At 38.4% G+C, this 13,498-nt stretch overlaps 1 protein-coding gene across 21 annotated transcripts in view; it reads left to right on the top strand.

Annotated features, from left to right (window-relative positions):
- TMEM87A (transmembrane protein 87A) overlaps positions 1-13,498 on the top strand; it is a 63,138-nt gene that overhangs the window by 27,665 nt on the left and 21,975 nt on the right. For 17 of the 21 annotated variants that reach the window (NM_015497.5, NM_001286487.2, NM_001438992.1 and 14 more), the window contains 5 exons: positions 1,753-1,870; positions 6,189-6,250; positions 8,305-8,488; positions 9,501-9,600; positions 12,614-12,707. In NM_015497.5, the coding sequence (NP_056312.2) occupies positions 1,753-1,870; positions 6,189-6,250; positions 8,305-8,488; positions 9,501-9,600; positions 12,614-12,707 (558 nt within the window). The remainder of the gene's footprint in view (positions 1-1,752; positions 1,871-6,188; positions 6,251-8,304; positions 8,489-9,500; positions 9,601-12,613; positions 12,708-13,498) is intronic. The other 4 variants (NM_001438998.1, NM_001438997.1, NM_001438991.1 and 1 more) reach the window with 2 other exon arrangements.

Here is a 13,498-nt window from a genome sequence, read left to right as displayed (position 1 = left end):
TTATGTTGTGTAAAATTTACCTTAGTTTACAAAGGAGTTAATACCTATCTGATAGGGCTGCTGTGAGGATGTAAAAATGTAGTAAATGGGCCGGGGCGTGGTAGCTCACACCTTAATCCTAGCACTTAGGGAGGCCAAGGTGGGTGGATCACCTGAGGTCAGGAGTTCGAGACCAGGCTGGCCAACATGGCGAAACCCCGTCTCTACCAAAAATACAAAAAAAAAAAATTAGCTGGGTGTGGTGTCATGCACCTGTTATCCCAGCTACTTGGGAGGCTGAGGCAGGAGAATTGCTTGAACCCGGGAGGCGGACGTCACAGTGAGCCAAGATTGCACTGCTGTACTCCTGCCTGGGCGATGGAGCGAGACTCTGCCTCAAAAAAAAAAAAAAAAAAAAAAGTAATAAATGTCATATGCTTAACAGAGTTATCTGGCATATAAATGTTATTTTTACAGGGTCAGAATCTCTGCATTCCAGAGTTAAGTATAAACTTTCTCAAATCCTGGAATATGAGAATTGATCAATTTATTTTAGAATTTGTAAGAGGTGGTTTTAAGACATATATGATTAATAGAGCAGGTTATTACACCAGCATTTTATAGGTTGATGAGTAAGTAAGTTCAGGAAAGGTTCTGTAATTATGGCTAAGCAGACATGTATTACCCATAACTTTGAAGCTGCAAAGTTTTCTCACAAATTGGTTGTGAGTCTCGTCAGAGACTATTAGGTGGAGATAAATCAATGTATGATTAGGAAGACATTTATATTCTTAAATTTTACTAAGATAACCTAGTAAATGGATATCTGGAGAATTGTTTAGTCTGCTTTGTTTGACATGGATTTTTATCATGGAATATAATTTTTGAACTAAGCCTTTTCTTGGTTGTAGGATATTTTAACCATTTGAGGAGAACTATGGCTCCACAGGAAAATGCATAAACATAAAAAATCAGCTATTCATTTTGGGGGGTTCACAGAACCTAGAAGCTTACCCAGAGATCTCTGGATAAACGTTTCTCCTTTTAAGAACAGATGGTAGTAAATTGCAATTCCAAGGAAGAAGAAACCAGTTATTTTCTGTGTTCCTCTTTATCATTGTGTCTTAGTCTTCTGTTTGTGAAGACTCTAGTCTATGTGAAAAGCAAGAGTCACTACCCCTCAAAGTCAAGGACTTGGAGACTGTTAATTTGTCTTCCTTGACTTTGAGGGGTAGTGACTCTTGCTTACCACATAGACTAGCTCAAGGTTAAATTTTTGATATAAATGTGAGACCATGTCAGCAGAAATTCTGATATTCTTGGGAAGCATGTTGAACAAAGGGATTAGATTTAGGAATTGGTGATTAGAATTCATTTTACTGATACCATCATTAAGTTTTGTTTAAGGTGATTTAAATAATCATTTAAATTCCTTTGTAATGTCTGCATAAAACACAAACTAGTATCCTAGTATGGCTTAGTTAAACAGAGATTAAATTAGTGATTTTAGTTGGGGGTTTCCTCATTAAAAAAATATGTTAAATGTGATTTTTGTGTACAAGACATGGTATCTTGCCTTTCAGTAATTCATAATCTAGCCTACTTTATGCACTAGGCTTGTTTGGTTTGTTGTGCCTAATGTTTCAATGAATGAAAGAGAAGGACTTTACCATATTTCTGGGCACATTCTGGAGCAAAATTTGCATATTGTATTATTAATTTGTGCTCTTAATTCTTAAGATTTATAGATGTGATGCCCTTTTCCCTTTCTAGGCAATGCATGAACCATTGCAAACTTGGCAAGATGCACCATACATTTTTATTGTACATATTGGCATTTCATCCTCAAAGGAATCATCAAAAGAAAATTCACTGAGTAATCTTTTTACCAGTAAGTTCAGTTTTTTTTTTAATGGTTATGTTATTATCTGGTTATGTCATTCATGTACTTTACATATGCTTTTTTATTAGGTATTACAGGTATCAGATTTCTATTTCCTTCATTTGACACTCCTGCTGTTAAAATTTTTAGTTAGTAACATGTTTTCAGTATTCTGAACTAGAATTGTCAAAACTTGGTCACCAAGCCAGAGATAAGGAAATTTTAAATTAATTAACATTGGCCGGGCGCGGTGGCTCATGCCTGTAATCCTAGCACTTTGGGAGGCCGTGGCAGGCAGATCACATGAGGTCGGGAGTTTTAAGACCAGCCTGACCAACATGGAGAAACCCCGTCTCTACTAAAAATACAAAATTAGCTCGGTGTGGTGGCACATGCCTGTAATCCCAGCTACTTGGGAGGCTGAGGCGGGAGAATCGCTTGAACCCGGGAGATGGAGGTTGTGGTGAGCCGAGATCACGCCATTCCACTCCAGCCTGGGCAACAAGAACTTTCGTTCTTGTTCTCAAAAAAAAAAAAAAAAAAAAATTAATTAACATTGGTAGTTTTTAATGTCTCAAGAATTTAAGTGTTCTCCTTTCCAAGGTTGCTGCCTAGTTCATAGAGTCATCATCTTTTACGTGGAATTTCCAAGAACTTCCTAACTGGTCTTATTTCCTGTGGTTTCCCCCTTGTTTCTTCTTTGTGTTTTTGCAATTTCCTTTCCTCCCCTGCTTTCTTTTTTTTTATTTATTTATTTATTTATTTATTTATTTATTTATTTATTTATTTTTGAGATGGAATCTCACTCTGTCGCCCAGGCTAGAGTGCAGTGGCGTAATCTCGGCTCACTGCAAGCTCCGCCTCCTGGGTTCACGCCATTCTCCTGCCTCAGTCTCCGAAGTAGCTGGGACTACAGGCGCCCGCCACCACACCCAGCTAATTTTTTTGTATTTTTTAGTGGAGACGGAGTTTCACCGTGTTAGCCAGGATGGTTTCGATCTCCTGACCTTGTGATCCGCCTGCCTTGGCCTCCCAAAGTGCTGGGATTACAGGGGTGAGCCGCCGTGCCTGGCCCTTTCCTACCCTGCTTTCTTAAGCAGAATATGGAATAGAAACAATGATGGCAGCCACCGTTACTTCGCTCCTGACTTTACTGGCTGTATTGGTATATTTCACCATTAAGTACTGTGTTTACTGTAGAACTTTTGAAATATTCTTCATTTGGTTAAAGATGTTCCTTTCTATTCCTAGTTTAATGAGAATAGTTTCCTTTTTTAAAAAAAATGTTAAGAATGAATACTTAGCTTTATCAAATAGTTTAATTGTACTGATTTAAATGATCATATGGGCTTTCTCATTTAATAAGTTAATGTCATACATTAAATTAACTGATCTTCTAACATTAAATCATTGTTGAACTTCTGGGATACCACTACTTGGTTTTGACACACACACGCATATTCTCTCTGTCTGTCTGTCTCTCTCTCTCTTTCTCTTCCTCTCCTCCCTCCCTCCCTCTCCCTCTCTCCCTGTCCCTCTCCCCCTCACTCATACATGTGTATCCTCCTGTCTTTTTAGGCCCATGACTTTCTAATGGATTATAGTCTCAAGGCACAGTTACCAGTGTTCATTTTCAACCTTCTTTCTTTGAAAAGGCTGGAAGAGAAGCTTTATTCCACCCTACTTCAGCTTCTTCATGCATCCAGCCTGGCTCTGGTCCCTCTTCTTTTTCTTTGAAACCTACTAGCTTCAATGATCCCATGTACTACCGTAGTACATTGGTAGTGTACTTCCAACTACCATAGATCCCATAGGGACAGCACTTCCAACTACCATAGCCTGCTTCTGGCCCAAGAGCCCAACATGATCATGGAGTCGGCCTCGTGCACTGTTTTGAGTTTCTGTTTTGATTCTTGGAAATGTCTGTCTTGTTTTTGAGCTTATATCCTTTTTTGTTTTTTTCTTTTTCTTTTTTTTTTTCTTTTTTTTTTTGAGATAGAGTCTCACTCTGTCACCCAGGCTGGAGTGCAGTGGTGTGATCTTGACTCATTGCAACCTCTGACTCCTGGGTTCAAGTGATTCTGCTGCCTCAGCCTCCCAAGTAGCTGGGATTGCTGGCCTGCACCATCACACCTAGCTAATTTTTGTATTTTTAGTACATTGTGTTTTTACAACCTACTAAATTATTATTTATCTGCTAAATTATTAAATCTACTAGATTTTTATTTAGTAGATTGTATTTTTAGTTTCACCATGTTGGCCAGGCTGGTCTTGAACTCCTGACTTCAAGTAATCTGCCCGCCTTGGCCTCGCAATGTGCTGGGATTACAGGTGTGAGCCGCCGCACCTGGCCTTGTTTTTTCATTTTAAAAATACCCGTCTTTTTTTGGAATGGAGAAGATACATCATCACTAATACAGTTTTATCATTTTTCTTCCCTTCATCGAAACCTTTAATGGATGGCTCCCCATTGCCTATAAAATGACTACATTTTGCAGCAAGGTTTATAAAACTCTTTACAACTGGTCCCAGTTTACCTTTTGCTGCCTTATGTCAAAACACCACTACTATATGGTATTATATGCAGTCTCAGACTATATTTGTTCTTTAAATATACCACACATTTTCACAGCTGTTTTGTTCATGTTATTTCCTCTACCTAGAAGGCTTTTTACTTTGTTCTGGAAAATACATACTTATCCTTCTAGTCTGGCTGAGAGGGATAGTTCTCTACTTATCCTTCTAGTCTGGCTGAGAGGGATAGTTCTCTATGTAGCTTGTCAACTCCCTCTCCCCTGCAAGGTGGTTACCCATTTGATGGCAGAAAACATCTTACTCATGTTTCTGTCTGCTGTGTTTTCCATAGGCCTGTCAAATAATAAGTGCTTAGTAAATGTATATTTTAGCATAGAGCAGGGGCTAGCAAATTTTTTTCTTAAAGAGTCAGGTAGTAAATTTTTTCTCTATTATAACTACCCAACTCTGCGAGGTGGTGCAGAGGCAGCTGTAGACAATATGTAAATGAGTGGATGTGGCTGTGTTCCAATAAAACTTTATTAACAGAAAAAGCTGGTGGCCAGATTTGGCCCATGTGCTATATTTTGCTGACCAAGGCATAGAGTAAGCAAAGAATATGATCCAAGTATTTACTAATTATTTTGTTTACTCTTTTATTGAATTAGGAAGGTATAGATTTAATAATAGTTCTGCTCTGAAATTTTTATAATTGCTCTTATGGAATGCTCTTTTTTTCATGTAAGTATTGGATGTAGTTTACTTTAAATAATGGTATATCAGAAGCTAGTAGGGAATTGTTGAATGAACAGTTATTAGTCTGTCTCTAGGGATGATCACCACTCAAGTCAGATTTTTATTTATTAATTATGCCTAGAATTTATCCAAATTATTTTATCAATACAATAATAAAATAGTCCATCTTGAAATAGTTTTTAAAATTACAGATAATCTTAAAATTAGTCAATGTTTGCTTTACTAAGGCAAATATGTCTTTCAGATATATGTTATTACTGTTACTTTATCTGTCTCATTAAACACTTTGTTATTAACAAATTCTTTGAAAAATGTTAACTAGCAGGTTTTGGGGAAGTTCAATTCTATGTTTATTGGATGGAGCTTTGCCTTGAAGCATCTGAACTTTTGAGTTATTTTTATTTTGGAGTGAGCATCTAGGGTACCTGATTGTGAAGCTAGATTTCAATCTTGTATGAGGGATGGTATATTTTTTTGTGTGAGTTAATTTAAATTTTTAAGTTTTTTTCCAATGCCTTCATTCCGAAAATGATACATGAATGTAGCAATAAAAGAAAATTGGAGTCCATGAAAAAATAGTAAAGCAATAGGAAAATACAGGTGAGGAAAGATAGAAAACAAAGAAGATGGCAATATGTAAAAAGGAAGTCCTGTAAGGCATATTTTACTGATGTGTTGTAAGGAAAAGTATATATGAAGTATGTTTAGAATTTAGAGTATGTGTAGAGTTGTTCCAGATGGGCAGCCAGAGAAGGCTGTGTGGAGGAAATATTCAATCTAGTCTTTTTTAAGATGTGAGTATGGAAACAAAAGAGCCTTCCCACTTCAGACTATGGTGGAGGCATGGAAACCTGTGCAGGACACAGCATGAACTATGAGGACACTTAATGACTTTCCAAGTGCTGTACAAATATAATGTAATATTGACCAGGATTGAAGTGCCTAAAAGTAAATGACCCAATGAAATTCTTACTAAGTTCATTAAACAAATATTAGGCAATATTTTTGTTTAATTTCTGCATCCTGTAAATTAATTCTGAGGACTCTGTTTTGGCAGTGACTGTTGAAGTGAAGGGTCCCTATGAATACCTCACACTTGAAGACTATCCCTTGATGATTGTAAGTGACTTTATATTATTTAACCTCAGTATTGGATGGTTTTGGGTTCAAAGATTGTCCCATGTTTTGTGGCAGTATTCTTTTTAATGAATTGTTCCTGTGCAATTCAGAAAATGTTGCTTGTAGTCCTGGATTTATTTCTTATTAGACTGGGACTTTGAGAGAGTCAGTATACCCTTGTGTGCCTCATTTTCTTATCCATATAATGAAGGGGTCAGTGACCTGTGGAAATACCTCAAAGATCATCTCACATTCTCTCTAGGATGCATAGTGGGGCACTTTTTACTACAACTCTATTGTTTCTGATCCCACTTACATTAACTAAATGAGGCTGGGTGCCCTGGCTCATGCCTGTAATCCCAACATTTTGGGAAGCTGAGGCGGGCAGATCACTTGAGGTCAGGAGTTTGAGACCAGCCTGGCCAACATGGTGAAACCCCATCTCTACTAAAAATACAAAAATTAGCTGGGCGTGGTGGTAGGCGCCTGTAGTCCCAGCTACTCGGGAGGCTAAAGCAGAATTGCTTGAACCCAGGAGACAGAGGCTTCTGTGAGCTGAGATCTTGCCACTGCACTCCAGCCTGGGCGACAGAGTGAAACTGTCTCAACAACAAAAAATTAACAAAATGATGAAGCTCCCTTCTCTTCATTTTGTGTGTGTATGTGTGTATGTGTGCACATACATGTATGTGTGCATACGTCTGTGTCTCAGAATATCCTTAATATATTTTCAATTTTCTTTGTTCATGATTATTCTCTTCTTCCTTTCCCTTTAATAGTTTTCCCGTTTTGTTGTGTTTCCTTGCCTCTAGATGTATCCTAATCATCATGCCATTTTTCTTCTTCAGTGTTGTCTTCATCTATATAATTTTAGATCGTGAGCTGAAATAGCTCCTTCTTTAAAAAAAAAAAAAAAAAAAGAGAGTCTCACTCTGTCTCCCAGGCTGGAGTGCAGTGGCATGATAATGGATAATGGCTCACTGCAGCCTTAAACTCCAGGCTGAAGCTACCCTCCACCTCAGCCTCCCAAGCAGCTAGGACAACAGGCGTGTGCCACTATGCCTGGCTAATTTTTATTTTATTTTATTATTTTTTATCTTGAAACGTAGTCTCACTCTGTCACCCAGACTGGAGTGGAATGGCACGATCTTGGCTCAATGCAACCTCCAGCTCCTGGGTTCAAGCGATTCTCCTGCCTCAGCCTCCTGAGTAGCTGGGACTACAGGTGCGCACCACCATGCCTGGCTAATTTTTGTATTTTTAGTAGAGACGGGGTTTCACCATGTTTTGGCCAGGCTGGTCTTGAACTCCTGACCTCAAGTAATCTGCCCATCTCTGCCTCCCAAATTGCTGGTATTACAGGCATGAGCCACCATGCCTGGCCTAATTTTTATTTTTTGTAGGGACAGAGTCTTGCTATGTTGCCTAGACTGGCCTTGAACTCATGACCTCAAGCAGTCCTCCTGCCTCGGCTTCCCAAAGCACTATTGCAGGTGTGAATTACCACGCCTGACCAGAAAAAGCTCTTTTACTATAGGAGAGCAGGCTGAGTGCTCTCTATATATACCATATATGTGTCTGTGTGTATAATAGAGAGCACCTTTTATATGGTATACATATGTGATACATACATACACACACACACACACACACACACACACACATATATATATATACATATGAGAGCATTCGCTCTTGAGGACAAGTTCATATGTAGTCTTCTCTGCTCAAGACAAGATAATGCTTTCATATTAGTTAATGTTAAGCTCCAAAGGAAGAATTATTTCTTAACTAGAAGGTAGAATATATTTTTGTAACTTGTTAAGACTGTATATTGATTCAGGACAGGCGCTGTGGCTTATGCCTGTAATCCCAACACTTTGGGAGGCAGAGATGGGAGGATTGCTTGAGTCCAGAAGTTCAAGACCATCCTAGGCAACATAGCAAATCCCCATCTCTTAAAAAAAAAAAAAAAGTATATATTGATTCTAAATCTACAGACTTGGCTCTTGGCCCTAATTCTCCTTTTTATCTTTTACCCAATTTGATAACAGTTTTTCATGGTGATGTGTATTGTATATGTCCTGTTTGGTGTTCTGTGGCTGGCATGGTCTGCCTGCTACTGGAGAGATCTCCTGAGAATTCAGTTTTGGATTGGTGCTGTCATCTTCCTGGGAATGCTTGAGAAAGCTGTCTTCTATGCGGAATTTCAGAATATCCGATACAAAGGAGAATCTGGTAAGTAACCAGAAAATCTTTGCCAGTTCGAGTGGTTGGAAGGTGAGATGTATGAAAATATTCCTAAGGTCAGCAGTCACTACATAGGCTTAACTTTTCAATTACTTAATTATTACAATATCTTAAGCAGAATCACTATGACTCTGACTTTTGTTTTTAATCTTATGAGTTCAGTGATGTAAGACTAATTTTACTGAAATATGCTCACAAAAGTCACAACAGTAGTGACCATTTTGGGAATGATTATTAACATCAAATCTCAATTTCTGTTGATTTCTAAGGCACCATTATACATCTAAGAAAAAAAGTAAAGCTGTCAATTTAATTGTAAAATGTCACTGATTGTAAGACACACCTTGATTTAAAAAACCTCAAAATGTGGTGGGAAAGTGCATCTAACTGATAAAATATAGTCATATCAAGAAAATAGGAGAGTGCTTATGGTTTAGTAAGGTGAACTGGTAATGACAGAAGTTGTTTTATACTGTAGTTTTTTGTGATTGCTTCAGTTTTTTCTTGTCAGACCATTTAATTTAGTCATAATTATTATTGTGAGATAAACTGATAAGATTTTCCCTGGTCTTTGAAAGGTCTTGAAAATAGTAGATCTGAAAAAAGTTAAGCTGTACATGCCAACAAGCGTGTACACGAGTGTGTTTTGTGCTTTTCTATGTGTAGCTGTATTTCACAGTTTTTAAAAATGGGGGAAATTGTCTCGATGCTACAAACTGTCCATATAGGGTGAGGTATTCTGTTAAAGTTTTAGTGAATTTGGGGCCAGGTCGGGGAGGGAGCTGAGTTGAGCGCACCCAGATTGCCATACATAGACATGAGTAAGATTGTGAGTGGCATCAGCTTGTATCCTGTAAAAACTGTGGAAGAGGTATTCTATTTTAGCAGGACTAATATCAATGCTTATTCTGAAGAGTGTAGAAAGCAGCAGTCTAGTATTGGCATCTGGCCTGTTGCCAAACCTAGATTATGGTGCCATTTCTTCCCTTCTTTTTCATAGTCCAGGGTGCTTTGATCCTTGCAGAGCTGCTTTCAGCAGTGAAACGCTCACTGGCTCGAACCCTGGTCATCATAGTCAGTCTGGGATATGGCATCGTCAAGTAAGTATTAACTTCCTGTATGGAAGAGCAAATTAAAATGCTGATTAAATTAAAACAGTATTGCATGTTCCCAATGTAGTAGTTCTGAAATAGTTGATAAAAGAAATAATTCTGAAACAAGAAAGGTATTTGAAATTTTGTAGCATTGTAAATGTTGGGAAAATGTGTTTCATTTTCCATACTTCCAAATATATTCCATACTTCCAAATATATTCCATACTTCCAAGTCCAAATGTATTCCATACTTCCAAATCCAAATGTATTCCATACTTCCGAATATATTTCCATACTTCCAAAATATTTTTTGCAAATTAGATTTTTTATGGGAAACGCATTCTTGCTGTAACTGTCTGAAAATATTTTTCTATCCAAAAAATTTTATTTTTATTGAGGAGTGTCTTCTATAGGCATTCTTTGAGGCATTGTTCTAGGCCCTGGGGATATGGCAAGTAAACAGAAGATTTTGAGCTTACATTTGTGGAGGGAGGGGACAAAGACAAAATTTAAGTGGGTAAAATATTTTAATATGTCAGTGGAAAGTGCAGTGGAGCAGGTAATGCAGGAGCTAGAGCTTGCAGTTGTACATAGGGTGATCAAGGAGGGCTTCACTTAATGACATTTAAGCAGAGACTTCAAGGAGGTGAGGGAGCTATATGTATACCCAAGGGAAGAGATGCTGAATTGAGATCAGATTCTATATATATTTTGAAGGTGGAACCAGTGGAATTTGCTGATGGATCAGATGTATGATAGGAAAGAGAAGAGGAATTAAGGATGATGCCAATTGTTTTGATCTGATAAAATGGCAGGATGGAATTGAAGATTTACTGAGTTCAGGAAGACCTTAGGTGAAATAAGTGTGGAGCAGGGGCAAGATTGGAGTTGAATTAGATAACTAAGTAGGGGAAACAAAGGGGAGAGGTTGGGGCAGAGATAAAAGTTTGGGAGTCATGAAGATAAAGATATTATTTAAAGTCATGAAGGCCAGGCGTGGTGGCTTACGCCATAATCCTCACACTTTGGGAGGCCAAGGCGGGCAGATTGCCTGAGGTCAGGAGTTCAAGACCAGCCTGGACAACACAGTGAAACCCTGTGTCTGCTAAAATACAAAAAATTAGCCGGCTGTGGTGGCATGCACCTGTAGTCCCAGCTACTTGGAAGGCTGAGGCAAGAGAATCGCTTGAACCCTGGAGGCGGAGATTGCAGTGAGCCAAGATCATGCCACTGCACTCTAGCCTGGGTAACAGAACGAGACTCCATCTCCAAAGTTAAATAAATAAATAAATAAAGTCATGAGACTGGATTTGGTCACCAAGGAAGTGAGTATATATAGAGAAGAGGTCCAAGGGCTGGGCCCTTGAATATTTAATATTATTTAGAAGTCTGTAAGATGAAGTAGTTAGCAGAAGAAATTGAGGAGAGACCAGTGAGGTGGGTAGAAAACTGAAGAATGTGTTTCAAGGAGGAAGTGATTGTGTCAAGAGATCCTGATAGGTCAAGTGAGAATTGGCCATTGAGTTTACCTATATGGAGGGTCATAGTGATAGTTTTGGTGAAGAGATAGGGACAAAAGCCTAATTGGGGAGAGTTCCAGAGAGTATAGGAGGAGAGGAATTAGAATAATTGTATAGACAATTATTTAAAGGAATTTTGCTTTAAGTGGGATTAAGTAATGCTATAGCATCACTTTATAGTGCTTTAAGTAGGATTAAGGTTAGTTGTTTTAAGTTTGTTTATTCAATTAAAGGAGTTTTGCTTTAAATGGGATTAGAGATATGGGGAATTTTAATTCTTAAAACTTATTTATTTAACAATTATTTGAGTGCCTCCTATATGCCAGGAAGTATTCTAGGTTTCCAAGATGAATGGGGAGAAAATTCCCTGCTCATATGGAGTTTTCCCCAATGTATAACAAAAAATATAAGAACAAATATTGGTAAGGCCTATGCAGACATGATTTAAGGCAGCACATCTTAAACTACACTACACTAAGGAATCACCTAAGGATTTTGTTAACATGTGGATTCTGGTTGTGTAGGATTTTGAATCTCAAGGAGTTAAGACTTTTTCTCCTTCAAACAGAAGTTGCTCAGAAGACTTTTCATATATTAGGTTTCGAGCTTGCAAATATACTATTTAATGAACCGTAATAGGATATTTGATTATATTAAGGAATCGTTAGAATTTTTAGATTTGATGGTGGTATCTTGGTGATGTTTTTTAAAAGTTTCTTTTGTGGGCCAGGCACAGTGGCTCATGCCTGTAATCCCAGCCCTTGGGGAGGCCAATGCAGGAGAATCGCTTAAGCCTAGGAGTTCTAGACCAGCCTGGGCAACACGGTGAGACCTTGTCTCTACAAAACATCAAAAAAAAAAAAAAAAATTAGCCTGGTGTAGTGGGACGTGCCTGTAGTCCTCAGCTACTCGGGAGGCTGAGGTGGGAGGGTTGCTTGAGCCCAGGAGTTCACGGCTCCAGTGACTGGGCCACTGCACTTCAGCGTGGGCGATAGAGTGAGACCCTGTTTCTTTAGGGGAAAAAAAGAAAGGCCCTTTTGTAGCCATTGAAATACCAAAGAAAAATAAGGTCCTCATTTATTAAAAACACATACTGAAATATATCAAAGATATACTGTCTAGGATTTGCATCAAGAGAATATGAAAGGGTGGAAAGGGGATGGGGTATGCATGGGACAAAACTGACCATAGGTTAGTGGTTGTTGGGCCTTGGTGAAGGGTTTATAAGGGTGCATTATACTACTTGTGAATATGTTTCAAAACTCTCTGAGGAAACATTTTTTAAAATGTGGTAACCAGACACAAGATCTCAAGTTGTAGTGTTCCCTATCTTGTTTTAAGACCATAAGGTCTTAGTTTTTTTCTCTTAGGTGAATCAAGTGTATATTATTTATTGCTTTAAATTGTTGGCCTATATTAATTAACACAAGTTCCTGTTACTTAGCTTGTTTCGGCATTTGTCCCATATGTACTCAAATATCTCCTTGCTTCCTCTTTAGGCCACGCCTTGGAGTCACTCTTCATAAGGTTGTAGTAGCAGGAGCCCTCTATCTTTTGTTCTCTGGCATGGAAGGGGTCCTCAGAGTTACTGGGGTTAGTACTGCTTAATCTCATTTTCTGTGGTCAGTTCAATTATATTGTTTACATCTTGACAGTGTGGATTGGAAATGTCTGTGGGCTTCTTTCTGTTTGCTTTAAGTCACTTTTGGGCTCTGATTTTCAAAATATATGTATAGTTCATGTTCTCTTTTAAATCTATTAGAGCTTTGTAAATTTAGTGTGTGCCCGAATGAATGCTTTTCCACCTGTCTCCAAATTGCTAATTGTTTTAGTTCCTCCTCCCAAGCAGTAGACTTGCATTTTTTTTTCTTTTTCTAATCAATGGAATCCAGACTGAAATCCAGACTGAAATTCTTGTGTAAATGGCAGACTTTGGAGTCATACACTTACTAGTTAATCTAATCTAAAGTAACTGTTGTTTCTTAACATTTCAGTTTCAAAAACTTCCTTAAAATGCAGCTAATGAGGCTGGGTGTGTAATCATGCCTGTAATCCCAGCATTTTGGGAGGCCGAGGCAGGCGGATCACTAGGTCAGAAGATCAAGACCATCCTGGCTAACATGGTGAAACCCTGTCTCTACTAAAAAAAAAAAAAATACGAGAAATTAGCTGGGCGTGGTGGCAGGCGCCTGTAGTCCCAGCTACTTGGGAGACTGAGGCAGGAGAATGGTGTGAACTCGGGAGGCGGAGCTTGCAGTGAGCCGAGATCGTGCCACTGCACTCCAGCCTGGGCGACAGAGCAAGACTCCGTCTCAAAAAAAGAAAAAAAAATGCAGCTAATGAAGTTTCACACCATTTTTGAGAATTGTATAATTATTCCCTTT

Source organism: Homo sapiens, chromosome 15, assembly GCF_000001405.40.
Source record: "Homo sapiens chromosome 15, GRCh38.p14 Primary Assembly".
NCBI classification, from domain to species: Eukaryota; Metazoa; Chordata; class Mammalia; order Primates; family Hominidae; genus Homo; species Homo sapiens.
The sequence above is the reverse complement of the archived record's forward strand: the minus strand, read 5'-3'. Positions and strand labels throughout refer to the sequence as shown.